We start from the raw sequence: 17,278 nt of genomic DNA on the forward strand, positions 1-17,278 counted from the left end.
CTGGAGGTTTCTAAAGCCTGTTCTCAGGCTGTGTCTACTCTGGGATTGTGTGTTTATTTTCTTTCTTCAGAAAGAAGTCAGAAGTTTACTTCTATAAGCATCATGCTGCATTGGAGAGGAAGAAGGGCTGTGGTGGGTAAATGCAACAAATTTTCCTTCCTCTACTATTTGGCTTTTGGCATTCTGCTTGCCTGGGGTGCTGCAAACTCTTGATTTTTAAACTTATCACAATGGAATTTTGTTCAGGATATTTTTGTTAAGTGTATATGTATATGAAGAAATTAGGGCCTATGATTTTTATTGTGTCATTTTGCTAATGTGCTTGACATAACTTTATACATTAGGTTTCTAACACGTACTCACCTGAATCTAATAAGTGAGGTAATTTATTTTCCCTTTTCCCAGATGTGTATTCTCATTTTATGGAAGACATGTTGCCAGAGTAAAGCACAATATATTCATCTTGAAATGTAATACTGAGAAGATATGGAAGTTATGGAAGTTGTGGCCTTCAGAATTGACACTTACGGAGAGACTAGAACAGCGTGGGTGAGTTGTGAGGGGCAGGAAGCATGTCTTAATGGACTTAACCAATTTTCGTCAACTATTCACAGTAAAATCTTTCAATGTACAAAATTTAATAATCTGATAAACAATAAACAAAATATTTGAATAGGCATTTTTCATAAGACGTACAAAGGGCAGACAGGCATACGAAAAGGTGCTCAACATTTTTGATCATCAGACAAATGCAAATCAAAACTACAATGAGATATTACGTGACTCAGTTAAATGGCTTATATCCAAAAGGTAGGCAGTAACAAATGCTGGAGAGAAGTGGAGAAAGGGAGCCCTTGTATGCTGTTGACAGGAATGTAACATTTTGAAAATTCTTCAAAACAACTAAAAATAAAGCTACCATATAATTCAGGAATGCCACTCCTGAGGATTCACTTACTAGAAAGGAAATCCATACATTGAAGAGATATCTACCCTCCCATGTTTGTTACAGCAGTGTGCTCCAGCCAATATTTGGAAGTAACCTGATGTCCATCAAGAAATGACTGGATAAAGAAAACATGGCACATATACACAATGGAATACTATTTAGCCATAAAAAATAAGATCCTATTATTTGCAACAACATTGATGGAACCATAGATTAAGTGAAATAAGCCAGGCACAGAAAAACAAACTTTCCATGTTCTCACTTATTTGTCGGAGCTAAAAATCAAAACAATATAACTCATGTAGGTAGAGGTAGTTGCCAGAGGCTGGGAAGGGCAGTGGGGAATGTAGGGGACGGTAGGGATGGTTAATGAGTACAAAAAAAAAGAAAGAATTAGTAAGACCTAGTGTTTGATAGTACATCTGGGTGACTATAGTCAATAATAATTTTAATTGTACATTTTATAATAACGAAAAAAGTAAAATTAGATTGGTTGTAACACAAAGAATAAATGCCTGAGGGGATGATGGATACCCCATTTTCCATGATGTGATTCTTTCTTTCTATGCCTGTATTAAAGTATCTCATATATCACATCAATATATCTCCAACTAAGTACCCACAAAAATAAAAAATTTAAACCAATTCAAAATGCCAGAATTTCTATACATTAACTATAAACTACCTGAAAAAGTCAAGTAAACAATTTTATTTATAATAACTACAAAAAGTTTACTCATAAATGTAACCAAAATGGTGAAAGATTTCTATATTAAAATTAAAAAACACTGAGTAGAAAAACTTTCTAAATCACAAATAAATGGAAAGATATTTCTGGTTCATTGATTGGCAGAATTAATACTGTTAAAATGTCTACACTGAGCAAAACAATCTACAGATTCAAAGCAGTCTCTTATCTGTATACAAATGAAATTATTTAGAATATTTCAAAAATTCTAAAGTTCATATGGCATCACAAAAACACTAAACAGCAACAGAAATTAAGCACAAATAATACAGCTGGAAGCATTACACTACCTTTGAAATACACTACAAAGCTTTAGGAATTGATACAGTATGATAACTGGTTTAAAAAGAGAAACATAGGTGAATAAAGCAGAATGCAGAGCCCAGAAACAAATTCATAAAATTTCAGGATCTTACACAAAGGTGACAAGAACACACAGTGGGGAAAGGACAGTTACTTCAAAAGTGGTGTTATGAAAACTGAGTATCTCCAGGCAGAACAATGAAATGAGACCCTCCACCAACATAAATCAAAGACTCAAAACTCTGGAACTGCTACAAAAAACAGAGTGAAAGCTCCATGACATTGGTGGGGACAATAATTTTTTCTTATTTATTTCACCTCAAAATCCCAGCAAACAAAAGTGGAAGTAGACAAATGAGATTACTTGAAAACTGAAAAGCTTCTACACAGCACTAGGTACAACCAACAGAAGAAAAATAACGTATAAATAAGAGAAAATATTTATGAGTTATATATCTGACAAAGGGTTACTATCCAAAATAGACAGGAAACTCAAACAACTATAGAACAATAAACAAGTAACTATTAAAATGGGTGAAAGATGTAAATAAACATTTCTTAAAGGAAGACATACAAATGGTAAAAAATATATGAAAAAAATGCGAGGTAAATTATCATAAGGCTAATCTAAGGTTAAGGCTAATCTAAGGTTAGGACTAATCTAAACCTCTATTAGATAACAACTCACTACTGTTAGAATGACTATTAATAAAAAGCCAAAAAAATAATTATTGGCAAAGATGTGGAGCAAAGGGAATGCTTGCGCACTGAATGTAAATCAGCGTAGCCATTATACAAAACAGTATGGAGATTTCTCAAACATTAAAAGCTGAACTATCATATGATACAGCAATATCATTATTGGGCACATATGAAAAAAATCAAGTATGTGAAAGAGACATCTGTGCTGTTATGTTTATTGCAGCACTATTCACAATAGCCAAGATATAAAATCAAACTCAGGGTTTATTATCAAATAAAATGATAAAGAACATGTGGCATACATCCATTCTGTACGAATGGATTATTATTCAGCCTTAAAATAGAAAATACTGTCATTTTCAATTACATGGATGAACATGAAGGAGATTATGTTAATTGAAATAATCCAGACACAGAAAGACAAATACCTCATGATTTTGCTCATATGTGGAATTTTAAAAAATTGATCGCATTGAAGTAGAGACTAAAATAGTGGAACGAGAGGCTAAGATATTTTGGAAGGGGATTGGGTAGATGTCTTTCAAAGAATATATAATTAGTTAGATTAAAGGAATAAGTTAAAAAAATCTGTTGTAAAGCCTGGTGACTATAGTTAATGATGACATACTGTTATGTTTTAAAAATACTGATATAGTCAATGTTAAGTGTTCTCCATCACAAAAATGATAACTATATGAGGTAAAGCACTTGTTAATTAGCCAGAATTTAATATTACACAATGTATGCATGCTTTAAACCACATTTTACATGACAATACATATAATTTTATCTGTCAATTTAAAAAATGTAGAAACATGAAAAGGTAGTGTTTCAAATAATCAGTCTGTGTCTTATTCATAAGCTTAGCAGAGTAGTATCAAAATATATAGTTTTTGTGATGTTTTTGTCATTTCATTTGTCAGTCATAAGCATAGAAACTCAGATATTTACCAGCATGTGCAAGAACCAGCACAGTGCCTGGGAGAATCCTATGTACTTTAGAGCTTTTACTTTGAGCTCCAGGTACCTGGAATTCCTGGTATAGAAGACACTAAAAAGGCAGGTGCTGCTAATGGTTTCGCCTCTGGCCCTTCTGTAAACACTGAAAACAAGTTTGCTTCCAAAATCACTGAGAAAATGTTTTAATCCAAAAGCCTGCCATTGTCTTTGAGATTTCTCTAAAGAGAACGACCTAGAATTTGGCTGTAATTAGGTGTCTGAGAATAAAAACTGTGGACTGTAACTGTGCCCATTCAAATAAAAGAAGTTATAATAATATGAGTGAGAAATTTCCCAAGATGGCAATACGAATCCGCAAAAAAGATTATTCCAAATTTTAAACCCACAAAGATTATTTTATTTTTGTCCAAAACTTATTATACCCACTCAACAACAGAAGATTCTGCATGGAAACATAAGCGGTGGGATAAATATTTCATAGAAATTTGAATTTAAAATATTTTACTTACCACTAACTCTCCTTAATACAATTTTATTTCTAAGACATGTCTCTAATGGGATATCCAAATTTTGATTTGTTTTCTTATGTAGCACTAATAATACATGGCCCACTGGTATTAATACTTCACTTAGTCTAATTTGATATTTACCATTCTTTGTGTTATAATATAATAATGTTTAACAATGCTATCTGTCCAACGATCTAATCCATGGATACTGCGTTATCTTATCTAAATTAAGTGACAAGAATGTTGCATTTGTAATCTATAAATGACCTCAAATTCTCCAGCTACAAAGAATTTTTAGGCACATTAAAAATAATTCTAACTTGTCCTCAGAACCTGCAGAGTACTGTGTGAAATAACATGGGGTGGGGAGAACAGTGAGCAAGATGTTGCCATAAGACAGGCAAAGAAAGAGAAGGGCTGTAATGCATATGTATTTGGGGGTGAAGATAAAAAGACAGTGAAAGAAAAACTGAAGATAATTAGAAAATAAAAGAAGCAGAATTTATCTGTCTAAATTTAGAGTTAGTTGTGCAGCCTGACTACAGATTTCCTCTCTCACCATGCAAAACCAATGCCACTTCTTCACTCTGGGTGTTTTTAATCTCTTATATGAAGATACAAACTCACTCGAGCAGAAATATTTCCTGATAATTGTAAAGCATTTGTTACACACCTAGCACCGTCTTGTGTTTGTTTACTTCATACAAATGGCAAGAAAATCCCATGGCTTATGAAGCCTCCCGAGTTTTTACCTTAAAAGCATGGCTCAATAAATTCAATAATTATATCAAATATGTCTACTATAAAACATGAAAGAAACAGTAATAAAAACATTTTGCTTAAATAGAATTCTCTAATTGAAAAGATTAAATATACTAATTAAATAATAAAATTTAACAATATACTCACTGCAAAATTACTCAGATCTTCAAATTATTTAGTTAGCACCATTACATTTTACCGAAAGAGCTATAATCATTAGGCAGGTCACATAAAGAATACTTCATGAACTTTGAAAGAAGAAAATTGTATATTAGGTCTAGCATGAATAGAAGGCAAGCTAGAACAAAGGGTTTGGATGGGGAGATTCTGAACCACAAGATTTTAGAGATGAATGGAAAGCAGAGGAAATAAATTTGCTTTCAGAATCTGTGAGGTTTTAGTTTGCTAGTATATCATAAACACTCATGAAATCATCTGCTTTGTTCTGATATATTTTCCTACTCAGAATAGGTCCACACTCACATAAAAACAATTACTTCTCCAATTCTTTTATATCTGAAGTTTATCTTTAGAGTAATATATTTAGAAATTTTACACCATGTAAATTAAAACTAAAATTTTGTGTTTGTAGAACCAGAGATAACATGTTCAAAAAAATGTAGGCTGAATTTTCTAAATAGTTATTCAGAATTCAGAAATGTAGGGCTTTTGATTATACTCCTATATAATCTTCAGTATAACCATCACAATAACTTCACAGTTACAAAATAAATAAAAATGTAACACGTGGGAACAATATTCTCTAAATTATTTGAAGTATAAGGCCACTGGGAAAAAGAATCACTACAGATGTTATTCCACCATATTACTTAATGGTATAGTCTTACCATGTTTTACCTACAAGCCTGAGTAAGGTAGAATAAGTTAATGTTGACAGCAGGATGACACTTCAATCAATGCACAAGACCCTTAACATATTAAAAATATTTTTTATTTGTTAAAACAAATAAAGTTTACAAATAATCTGAGACATATCAAAATCCACTCTATTTTATTAGTTTTATGTGCATTTGGTGAAACAATTTTCTTCTAAATTTTACAGTGTTTATTAATAAAATGCAGAGGATATGCACTGAACACCTACCTCATGCATCGCTTACAACACTGTTATCACTTAACCACAAACAGCCTCTCCACTTAGATTTTCTTCATGTATCTTACATTTCCAGGTCCTTAATCTTTTATGGAGAAGTATATAAATGATGACCACCTAATACAGAAGGACCGCTCAGAGCTGTAATGCATCAAACATTGACCACATGCTTCCATATAAACATTAGGAATAAAGGCAAAGCACTAAGTTATTCGAAAGTTTAATTATATCAATACTTGCTATTCAAAACATTTAAAATTATTTTAATGCAAATAATTACACTCAATATAATTTTAAATCTTCAAGAAGCAATCTCCTACTACTTTTATCCTACATACAAATAAATTATCCAATTATTTTAACTTTGGATTATTCTCTATAATGAACACTCTGAATAATTTAACTCATGACAGGATTCATACAATTAACCTTTTAAACATTTGTCTTATAGTTTACATCACATTGATTACCCTTTTATCAGATCTCAGTAGCACCAAAAACCTGACAATGGTATAGACACTGCCCACTAGCCTCTAGACACCACGGTCATATGCCCATGGCAACGTTGAGGAGGTTGAGATGATGAAGTCCATCTTGTACATGCCCACCGAGAAACTCACCGGCAGCAGGATGTGCTGATGGCTCCTGCCTCTGCAAAGATCCTTAGGTAGAGGCTGGGGCTGTGAAGGTACCAGGATCTCCTGTAGTTCCTGAATGAGAGTCATCATGTAGACACTTGAGAACAGCATTATCTGTTTAAGAAAAACATCTCTGAATAATGACAGAGTGAAAAACAGTCCTCTGATTATGGAGTTTATTGGGAAAAGTGAACAGTATTTACTGACATGCAAATTGATCTGGGTCACATTGGAAGAAGCCACAGTGTAAAAGATCAGGCTACTACTAACAGGAAAACTGAGAGACCATGAGAACAAATGGAAGGTAAAAATTGTGGATTTCCATTTAAACCTCACCAACCAGGAAATGCTGGGGCTGATGTTGACGACCTGCAGCATGCCCAGGAGGCAGGTGGTACAAATGGAGAGGACCCTGATCACCCTCCTCAGGTAGAAAGATGCCTCATATTTGAAGTCATTCTGAAAATTCAGTGATTCAAAGAGCTGTGGAGACAAGAACACCATGGTGAGAAGGACCACCATGTGGATGAGGGCCACATGACAGACTGGTAGGTAAGTGCGCTCTGGCCTGAGATCCAGAAAAAGCAGAAAAGGAGAAGACGCAGAAAAGAAGGAGAAAAGTGTTGGCTGAGATGCCAATACCAGCTTAGAAATGAAAGGCATTTTTCATGGGAACACAAGTGCAAAGTAATCATCTGAATTACAAAGACAAACATACTTTGTACATCAAAATATGAAGTATAAAAAACATTTTGTACTTCACATCATCTGTATTATATATTCTATGGCCAAAATTATCATAAACATTATTTTTATTCCACTAATTTTTTTCTTAATTAATCCTATCATATAAATCCTTGATATATATAGTGTATGTGTGCATGTATGTATATATAATTTGATGTATAATGTTGAGAATGTATTTTGAAGAATGTATATGAAAAACTGGCTCACTTTTTACAAAGCATTTCTTAATGAAGAGTGATGGTTACATAACAATAACTCACATGTTTGTATAGTTGAGCTAAAGTAAATTTTATGTTAAGGGAAAATAATCACCTAAAGAAAAAGTTGAAAAAAAAGTTTAACTGACTCACATCACAGTACTCAGTTTCTCTTATTATTTCTTTCACTTTTAAGAATGCTTATAATTACATTAGGCCCAAATCTGTAATTCAAGTTAATGTTTTTGTTTTAGAGTCAGCTGGTTATCAACCTTGATTTCATCTGCAGCCTGAATTCCCATTTCTCATATACCATAATACATGCCTAGAACCTGGTGGTTAGACATGGGGACCTTTGCATGGCATTATTCCACTTACCACAAGTCCTATTAAACGAATCCCTTAAAATAATTCTGGCTCTGTTCAAGTTTTGTTTTTATCCCAGAGAAATCTCATGAAAGCTTTATTTCATCTCAGGAGGAAATTGCTAAAATCCAGTTTTCAATGCTACAAGTACATGGACTACCTTTTTCTACTTTATGGGATCCATGAATTTGCATTAAGTGATAATTTTCTTGATGCTTCACTTTATACAGAGATACCCTTCCATGGAAGATACCCTTCCATGGAAAGATGCCTTTCCAAGCCTTGGAAAAACACCAAGGTCACTAATAGTAAAGATAATTCTCCATCTCTTAATCATGATATCTCTGTATGAGAACCCTTCATAAAATTTTATTGAATAATTCTGCAATTACTTTCTTCTTTGCCCTGAATACAGTCATCACTATTGTATCCAACTAATTCAGCCCGCAGCTTAGAATAATAGAGCTCTGGCTCATGCCTATAATTCCACCGCTTTGAGAGGCTGAGGCAGGGACATTGCTTCAGATAAACAGTTTGAAATTAGCTTGAGCAACACAGTGATACCCTGTGTCTATCAAAAATAAGAAAGAAATTAGCTAGGCATGGTGGCACGTACCTGTGGTCCCAGTTACATGGGAAGCTGACATGGAAGGATCACTTGAGCATAGGATCTTGAGGCTATAGTGAGCCAGTGAGTTGTGATGGTACTAATGCACAAACCACAAATATAAATGTGCAAGGCAATGAAGATGATTTGACAGTATTTTTTACCTCATACTCAGAAATTAACATCTGAGTTAGAAAACTGCTAACCAATTTTAAACCACCTGATATGGATGAGTTTACAAAAAGGAAATTGCATAGTTTATATATCAGTTTTTATTTTTTCTCCTAACACATAATCTAGTATAAGTACACATTTATCTCAATGTCCAGAACCAAACAATGGATAGTTGCCACCAAAATATACTGATGCCATCAACATGATATGGTTCTTTTGTCATGTTAAACCTAAAAGAAGCTCCAGGATAGTATCAGATTAAAGCCATAATAATCTCCATATATTAAATACTGCAGTCTAGTTCCAGAAAATAAACATGGACAATTAATATACAAATAACTACTTACTACTTATGTAGAAATCACTTTTACTAAATATACTGTATGTATTAAAAGTTATATCACAGAAAGAGGTAATACAATTAGATAAAACAACATACGTAAGAATTCTATTTTTTCTCCCCATAAGGTATCCAGATCACACACTTTAATTCATGCCACACCCTCTCTAATGACTACTACATACCGCAAAAGAATGTATCTGCTAATTATCAAACTTTATTTTTCTCTAATGAAGGTTTTCAGGTCATTAATGCTGAGTCTGGAGAAAAGAACAGTGGCTCCCATGAACAAGGGTTGACAAATGTAACACACTTGGTTATATTTGAATTTCAGGTAAATGATGAATTGTTATTTGTATATACTCCAGTAATTGCTTACACATATTATACACAGATATAAAAACATTGCATAGCTATACTAAAAAGTTATTTGTTGTTTACCCCAAATTTAAATGTAACTTATGTTTTCTCTATTTTATGTCACAAATCTGCCACAACTACCATAGAACTATTGTATAATTTGGGACAACATGTTACAAACATGGGAAAACAGAATAAAAGAAAAAATATCAAAGGTTTTATAAAGGCTGAGTGCTGTGACTTATGCCTGTAATTTAAGCATTTTAGGAGGCAGCAGTGGGAGGACTGAGCCCAAGAGTTTGAGACCTGCCTGGGCAACATAATGAGAACCCATCTTCACAAAAAAATTTCAAAAATTAGCCAGGCATTGTACCACCTGCCTGTAGCTCTGGCTACTTGTGAGGCTGAGGCAGCAAGTTCACTTGAGCCTACACGGTCAAGGCTTCTGAGACCCCTGATCAAACCACTGCACTCATTCCTGGGTGTCAGAGTGTGAACTTGTCTCAAAAAAACATCAAAACATGGGATGCAGCAAACTTTTGAGAGAAATTCACAGCAGTAAACACCTACATTAAAAATAAACAATTCTAAATTAATAACCTAATGTTTGGCAAAAATAGTTAAGGGCTAATTAACTACTCATCACACCTTGGAGAAAGAATATCAGTGCGGCAAGCAAAAGTCATGTAGAATATCTAAGAGAAAAGACTGAGGAGTGAGGTGCCTGGGGGATTCGGGCTTTGAAAATTATCCACATATTCCTGAGAATCCAGAAGCCCATAAGCATGTTCAGGGTCAATCAAGGGACAGGCAAATGCTCACAAAGACCTACGAAGCTGTTATCTCTCATGTCTGCTTTACCTCCAAACACTGCACAAGCAGGAAGAAAAGAAAACAGCAAAGTTGTAATCTTTCTGGCTAAGTAAACCCAACTGCAAGAACTAGTAGATTTATATTTGATGTGAGCAGGCATTTGAGAAAATCTCTGTCAAATAACTAGCTCACATGAAGCTAATAAAGCAGAGATTTTTATTGCTAAACACGACAAAAGGATGATATTTTAAAAATAATTTTGAAAACTCACCAAACAAACAAGTAAAATTTACAATAAGCAACAAAAAAACCCAACGGGATGAGAGAGAATATTATTTCAGGGTTGTTGTGATAGAAAAAGTCTAGTTTTCAGCAACAGCAATGAAATACAAAGCGTGCAAATAAATTAATGAAAAAATAATGGCCCACTAATAAGATAACAGATATTAACAGAAACAGTCCTAGAGGAATCGTAGGCATTGAAAAATCTAGAAAAAGTCTTTAAATTACCTGTCTTAAATGTGCTGCAAAGATAAATAACATCAAAAGGAAAAACATTTCAGAAGAATAGTGTCTCATCAAATAGAAAATATTAATAGAGATAGAGATTATAAACTGAAGCCAAACTCTAAAGTTGAAAATTAAGATAACTAAAATAAAAAATTCACCACAAAGGTTCAACAAAAGATTTAAGTAGACGAAAGACACAACCAGCAAGCTTGAGGTCACTTCAATTCGTATTATCCCAACTAGCAGAAATAAAAAATAATGAATAAAGATGAACAGAGTCTAAGATAACAATGGGATACTATAAAATGTGCCATTACAAGCATTATGAAAACTCCCGAAAGAAGGGAGAAAGATAAAATGGGGCAGAAAGAACATCTGAAGAAATAATGGCTAAAAAGTTCCCAAGCATGATGAAATACGTGAATCTACACATTCCAAAATCTCATTGAATTCATAGTATAAACTCAAAGAACTCTACACCAAGACAAATTACAATAAAACTTTCAAAAGCTAAAGAGACAACTTTGAAGAAAGTTATGGAGAAAAGACTACTATTTGCAATGCATCTACACTGACATTAACAACTCACTAAAAACTAGAGTCCAGAATATAATTTCTCACTAAAAACTACGGAGTCCAGAATATGATAGGACAATATATTTAAAGTGTAGAAACAAAAAAAAAAAAAGCCAACAAAGAACTCTATTTTCAGCAAAACTGCTCTTCAAAGATGAAGGACATCCTTGAAGACCTTTGAAGACACTAAGAGCTATATAGATTAAAACAAATTTAACAGCTTGTCACTAGTAGACCTGGTATGCATTAAATGACAAAGGTTATCTTTTGGGTTGAAATGAAATGACAAACTAGGTAATAATGCAAGGCCATATGAAAAAATAAAGAATGCCAGTAAAAATGAGTACATGGCAAAATATAAATGCCACTATTAAAGAATATTTTGTAACTTTTATCTATTGTTCTTTTTTACATGTAATTTAAAATACTAATGCATAAAATAATTATAAATTTTTGTTAATGTCATACAATGCATAAAGATGTAATATGTGACAAAACAACATAACATTGGAGGAGCAGATCTCTATTGAAACAGCTTTTAAAATAAAACTGAATTATGAGCGGTATTAATTTAAAGTACAGTTACACAGTGATGAGATTAATTGTCATCCTTAAGGTAGCCACTAAAAATACAACTAAAGAAAGAAGTGAAAGAGGAAATGAGAAGAGAATCAAAACTGTTTTGGAAAAATACTAGAACATTAAAGATGTCAGTAATATAAGAGTTAATTAACAAAAATATACAAGACTTTAGAAAACAACTAGAAAAATGGCAGAAGTGTGCCCTTCCTTATAAATAGTTTAAATAGAAATTAACATCTACAATTACAATGCAAAGATTGGCAGATGGTTTAAAAATAAACAAAAACCTGAACTAACTTTATGTTATCTATAGGAGAATCTCTTTAGTCCTAAACTCACAAATGGGTTGAAAGTGAAAGGATGGGTAAAAAGATTCCACACAAATAGTAAGCAAAATAAGCTGGGGTGGTTACCCTTAGACAAGATAGGCATTAAGACAACATTGCTATAATTAATTGACATAGGAAATTTTATGTTAAAAAATTATAAATCTATCAAGAAGATAAAATAGTTTTAAATATGCATGTACCTAACAAAGACCCCAATATATGAAGCACAAATGGCAGAATGGTAGAAGTAGAAAATTCTCAATGTGAACTGCTGACTTTAATATACCAACTAGACCTAACGGACAAATTCAGAAACACCTAATCAAAAACCTTGAAATGAGCAAAAATTGATTTCATTTTCACATTGTTTTCAAGCAAGCAATTTAACCACCTTGCTATTTTATGGCATGCTTATTTTTTAAAAAAAAGTTATGATGAAATATGCATAACATCATACTCAATACAAAGTTTCTGGTATATTTATAATTATGCAACTATAGCCATGGTATAACTTTAAAATATTTCCACTATCAGGACTAGACAATCATTACTGATTTCCCTTTTATGGACATTCCATTTTATCACCTTTATTGTTTGGTTTGGTTTCGTTTTTGAGATGGAGTCTCTGTCATGCAGGCTTGAGTGCAGTGGTGCGATCTCAGCTCACTGCAACCTCTGCCTGCCTCGCGGGTTCAATAGATTCTCCTGACTCAGCTTCCTGAGTACCTGGGATTACAGGCGCCCACCACTGCACCTGGCTAATTTTGTTTTTAGTAGAGACATGGTTTCACCATGTTGGCCAGGCTGCTCTCGAACTCCTAACCTCAGGCAATCCACCTGCCTCAGCCTCCCAAAGTGCTAGAATTAAACGTGTGAGCCACCATGCCTGGTCCATTTTTATTACCTCTTTATTATTGTGGTATGATTACTATTTTGTATAAATGGGATGATACACTGTATTATGTTTTGTGTCTGGTTTATTTCACTTAATGCATGTGAGGTCAGTTATGTCATTTTTTTTTTTACTAATTTTTTGTATATTTTAGAAAATGCATTTAGAAGAGAATAAAAAACTTTTAAAATAACTTCCATATTTCTCAATGTTGTGCATTTTTTTCAAAAAATAAGCAAATATTTTATTTTTTTGGTTTCTTTGAGACAGATCTTATTCTATCACCATGGCTGGAGTGAAGTAACATGATCATGGCTTACTGCAGATTCTACCTCCTAGGCTCAAGTAGTCTTCCCACCTCAGGCTACCAAGTATCTGGGACCACAGCTGCACACCACCATGCCCAACTAATTTTTAAATTTTGTGTATAGATGGGGTCTCATTATGTTGCATGGGCTTGTCTCAAACTCCTGCGCTCATGAGATTCTCCTGCCTAGGCCTCCCAAAGTGCTGGGATTACAGGTGTGAGCCACCACACCCAGCCTATTTTTTTCTAAGGACAGGGTCTCATTCTGTCCTCAGCTCAAGTGCTGTGGCGTAATCATAGCTGAGGGCAGACTCAATGTACTGAGCTCAAGTGATCCTCCCTCACTGACCCAAAGTGCTGGGATTACAGGCATCAGCCACCATGTCCAGCCTGAAATAATATTTTAATTAAACATTAAGAAAAATAGAAGAAATAAGATCTAGTGTTTCGTAACACAATAGGACAACTATAGTTAACCGTAATTTATTGTATAAAAGATAGAATTGTTGAGTAAGGTGTGAGCACCAGTTTAGGGTTTTGGCACATTCTTTACACTTGAAGAGTTTCTATCTGGTATGAATTATTTGATGTTGAGTATGGGTTGAGTGTCTGTTAAAAGCTTTGCCACATTCTTCACATTTGAAAGGTTTCTTTCCAGTATGAATTCTCTGATATTGAGAAAGGTGTGAGCTCCTGGTAAAAGCTTTGCCACATTCTTTACATTTGAAGAATTTCTCTCCAGTGTAGATTCTCTGATGTTGAGTAAGGTGTGAGCCCTAGATAAAAGCTTTGCTGCATTCTTTACATTTGAAAGACTTCTCTCCAGTGTGGATTCTCTGATGTCGAGTAAGGTGTGAGCCCCTGTTAAAGGCTTTGCCACATTCTTTATGTGTGAAGTGTTTCTCTCCAGTATGTATTCTCTGATGTTGAGTAAGGTGTGAAGCTCTGTTAAAAGCTTTGCCACATTTTTTGACACTTGAAAGGTTTCCCTCCAGTGTGAATTCTCTGATGCTGAGTAATGTATGAGCTTCTATTAAAGGCTTTGCCACATTCTTTACATTTGAAGGCTTTCTCTCCAGTATGGATTATCTGATGTTAAGTAAGGTACGAGCCTCTGTTAAAAGCTTTGCCACAGTCCTTACACTTGATAGGTTTCTTTCCAGTATGGATTCTCTGATGTTGAGCAAGGTGTGAGCTCTTCTTAAAGGCTTTGTCACATTTTTCACATTTGTAAGGTTTCTCTCCAGTATGAATTTTCTGATGTCCAAGTTGTAAGCCCCTGGTAAAAGCTTTGCCACGTTCTTTACATTTTACTGATTTCTCTCCAGTGTTAATTATCTTATGTCTCTTCAGATGTGACTGACTAAAGACTATTATACATTTTTTATTACATCTTTGTGAGCTCTCTCCAATATAAGTTCTTCGATGTTGAGTAAGTTTTGAGGATGGGTCAGAAGTTTCACCACATTCATTAGGGTTGTAAGGCTTTTCTTGAATATGGATACTTTGAGGATTGATAAAACACTTTCTCACATTCATTACATTTGTAATAGTTTTCTACAAAATGAGTATTCTGATGTTTACTAATATTTGAGTCATGGCTAAAATTTATCTGATTTTTATTACAAAAGACAGATTCCAAAAATTGATGTTGATATTTACTCACAGGAATACACGGTTCTGTAGGAGTAGCTGGCAGAAACTGAGGCTTCTTCAGAAATATTCTATGTTCTTCATCTCCTTTCACAGTTAAATTTTTGTTATGAGAAGTTGTCAAATATTGGCTACATAAATTATAACATTCTTTTTGTCCTTCACCTATACTTTCCCAGTTTTTCCATAAGCATAAATTTTCAAGGCCACAGCTCCCATATCTTCCCAGTGTTGCTTTTCCTAGTGTTGCTTTTTTGAATGACTCTTCTATGCCTTGCTCTGGTAAAATGCCTTGGTTGTAATAAGAATATATAGCTCAAAGTAGTAAAAATAACTAATTATTCTACATACTGAATTTAGCTGAATATACTTTACAAATCTAATATGAAATTTTACCAAGCTGAGAACATGAGCACAATGCCATAGTAGAAAACCAACAGAGGACAGAGCAAGATGGCTAAATAGAAGGCTCCAGTGATCATTTCCCCTGGAAGGACACCAATATAACAACTATCTATTAAAAAACAAACAAAAACGTTCATAAGAATAAAGGCGAGCACTCACAGTACCTGGTTTTAACCCTGCAGTACACAAAGAGGCACTAAAACAGGGTAGGAAAGACAGTCTTGAATCACTAATGCCACTCCTCACTCATGCCCTGGCAGTAGTCACATGCTATGTAGACAGAATCTGTACACTTGGGAGAGGGAGAGCACTGGGATTGTGAGCATTGAACTCAGTGCTGCCCCATCATAGCAGAAAGCAAAACTGGAATGAACTCAGCTGATGCCTGCCCACAGAGGGTGTGTTTCAACTGGCCCTGGACAGAGGGGAATCACCCTCCCAGTGATTGGAACTTGAGTTCTGGCAAGCTTCACCACCATAGTCTAAAATGCTCTGGGGCCCTAAAGAAACTTAAAACAGTCTAGGTCACAAGGACAGCAACTCCCAGGTGTCATGCTGAACTGGGCTTAGAGCCAGTGGACTTGGGGGCCACATTACCTACTAAGATACAAGCTGGGGCAGCTAAGAGAGTTCTTATACCACCCCTCCTCCAAACTGAGGCTGCACAGCTCACAGATTCAAGAGACCACTTCCATCTACTTAAGAAGACAGAAAGAGTAAACAGGACTTTGTCTTGTATTTTGGATACCAGCAAGGCCACCAGTCAGAGTTATAAAACACCCTTCTCAGCCACTAGCTCCTAATTAAAATTTCTAGGTACATACTGGACTATAAGGAAATCTGCTGCCTTGAATGAAGAAATCCGGTACTAACAAGACCCATCAACTGCTAAGTAAAGGGCCCTTGGCCTGGAATAACCTGCAGTGATAACCAGGTAGTTTGCTGTGAGCTTTCATTGAGACTCTGAGGCTTGCTAGAATCAGGTGAGACTCGGCACATTCACAACTGTGGTGGCTACAGGGAGACACTGAAAAAGGTAGAGGAAAAACTAGAGAACTTCATCTTGCAACTTAGGTCCCAGCATGGCCAAAGAGAGGAAGAGCACCAGTGGGCTCTTGGGGTCCCTTATTCCAGGTCTTGGCACTTGGATGGCACTTCTGGACCTGTACTGGGACAGAAGGGACACCACTGACCAAAAGGATGAGTACCAGGCCAAGCATCATTCACTATAAGTGAACTAAAGAGCCTTGAACCTTAAGAGAACATTGGTGGAAGCCTGGCAGTATTCCCGATGGGCCTGTGGTGATGGCAGCAATAGGATGAGGCCCCTCTGCCTGTTGAGTAAGGAGGGAAAAATGGGAAGAACCGAATTTCATGGTTTAATTGCTAGCTCTACCACAGTACAATAGAACACAAAGTAGACTCCTAAGGTTATTGACTCCAGCCCCTGGCTCCTGGATGGCACCACTGGGCTTGCCCAGAACCTGAGGGGACTCACTACTCTGAAGGAAAGGATACAAACCTGGCTGGCTTACCACCTACAGATTATAAAGCCCCAAGACCTTGAGCAATTACTGGTGGTACCAGGTAGGGTTACAGCTCACCATGGGTGTGATCAAGTGCTGTGCTGGTTTCAGGTCTGACCCACTGCAGTCCTACTGATAGCAACAGAAGACAAACTCCTAGGCAGACAGGGATGGGTGCACTGGTGAAACTCGACCTTCAAGGAAACAAC

General features: G+C 35.2%; 3 pseudogenes; all 3 read right to left on the reverse strand.

The window, feature by feature from the left end:
* VN1R62P (vomeronasal 1 receptor 62 pseudogene) lies at nt 3,510-4,008 on the reverse strand (annotated as a pseudogene).
* VN1R63P (vomeronasal 1 receptor 63 pseudogene) lies at nt 6,500-7,355 on the reverse strand (annotated as a pseudogene).
* ZNF519P3 (zinc finger protein 519 pseudogene 3) lies at nt 13,933-15,454 on the reverse strand (annotated as a pseudogene).

The sequence above is a fragment of the Homo sapiens genome, chromosome 15 (genome assembly GCF_000001405.40).
Source record: "Homo sapiens chromosome 15, GRCh38.p14 Primary Assembly".
Taxonomy (NCBI): domain Eukaryota; kingdom Metazoa; phylum Chordata; class Mammalia; order Primates; family Hominidae; genus Homo; species Homo sapiens.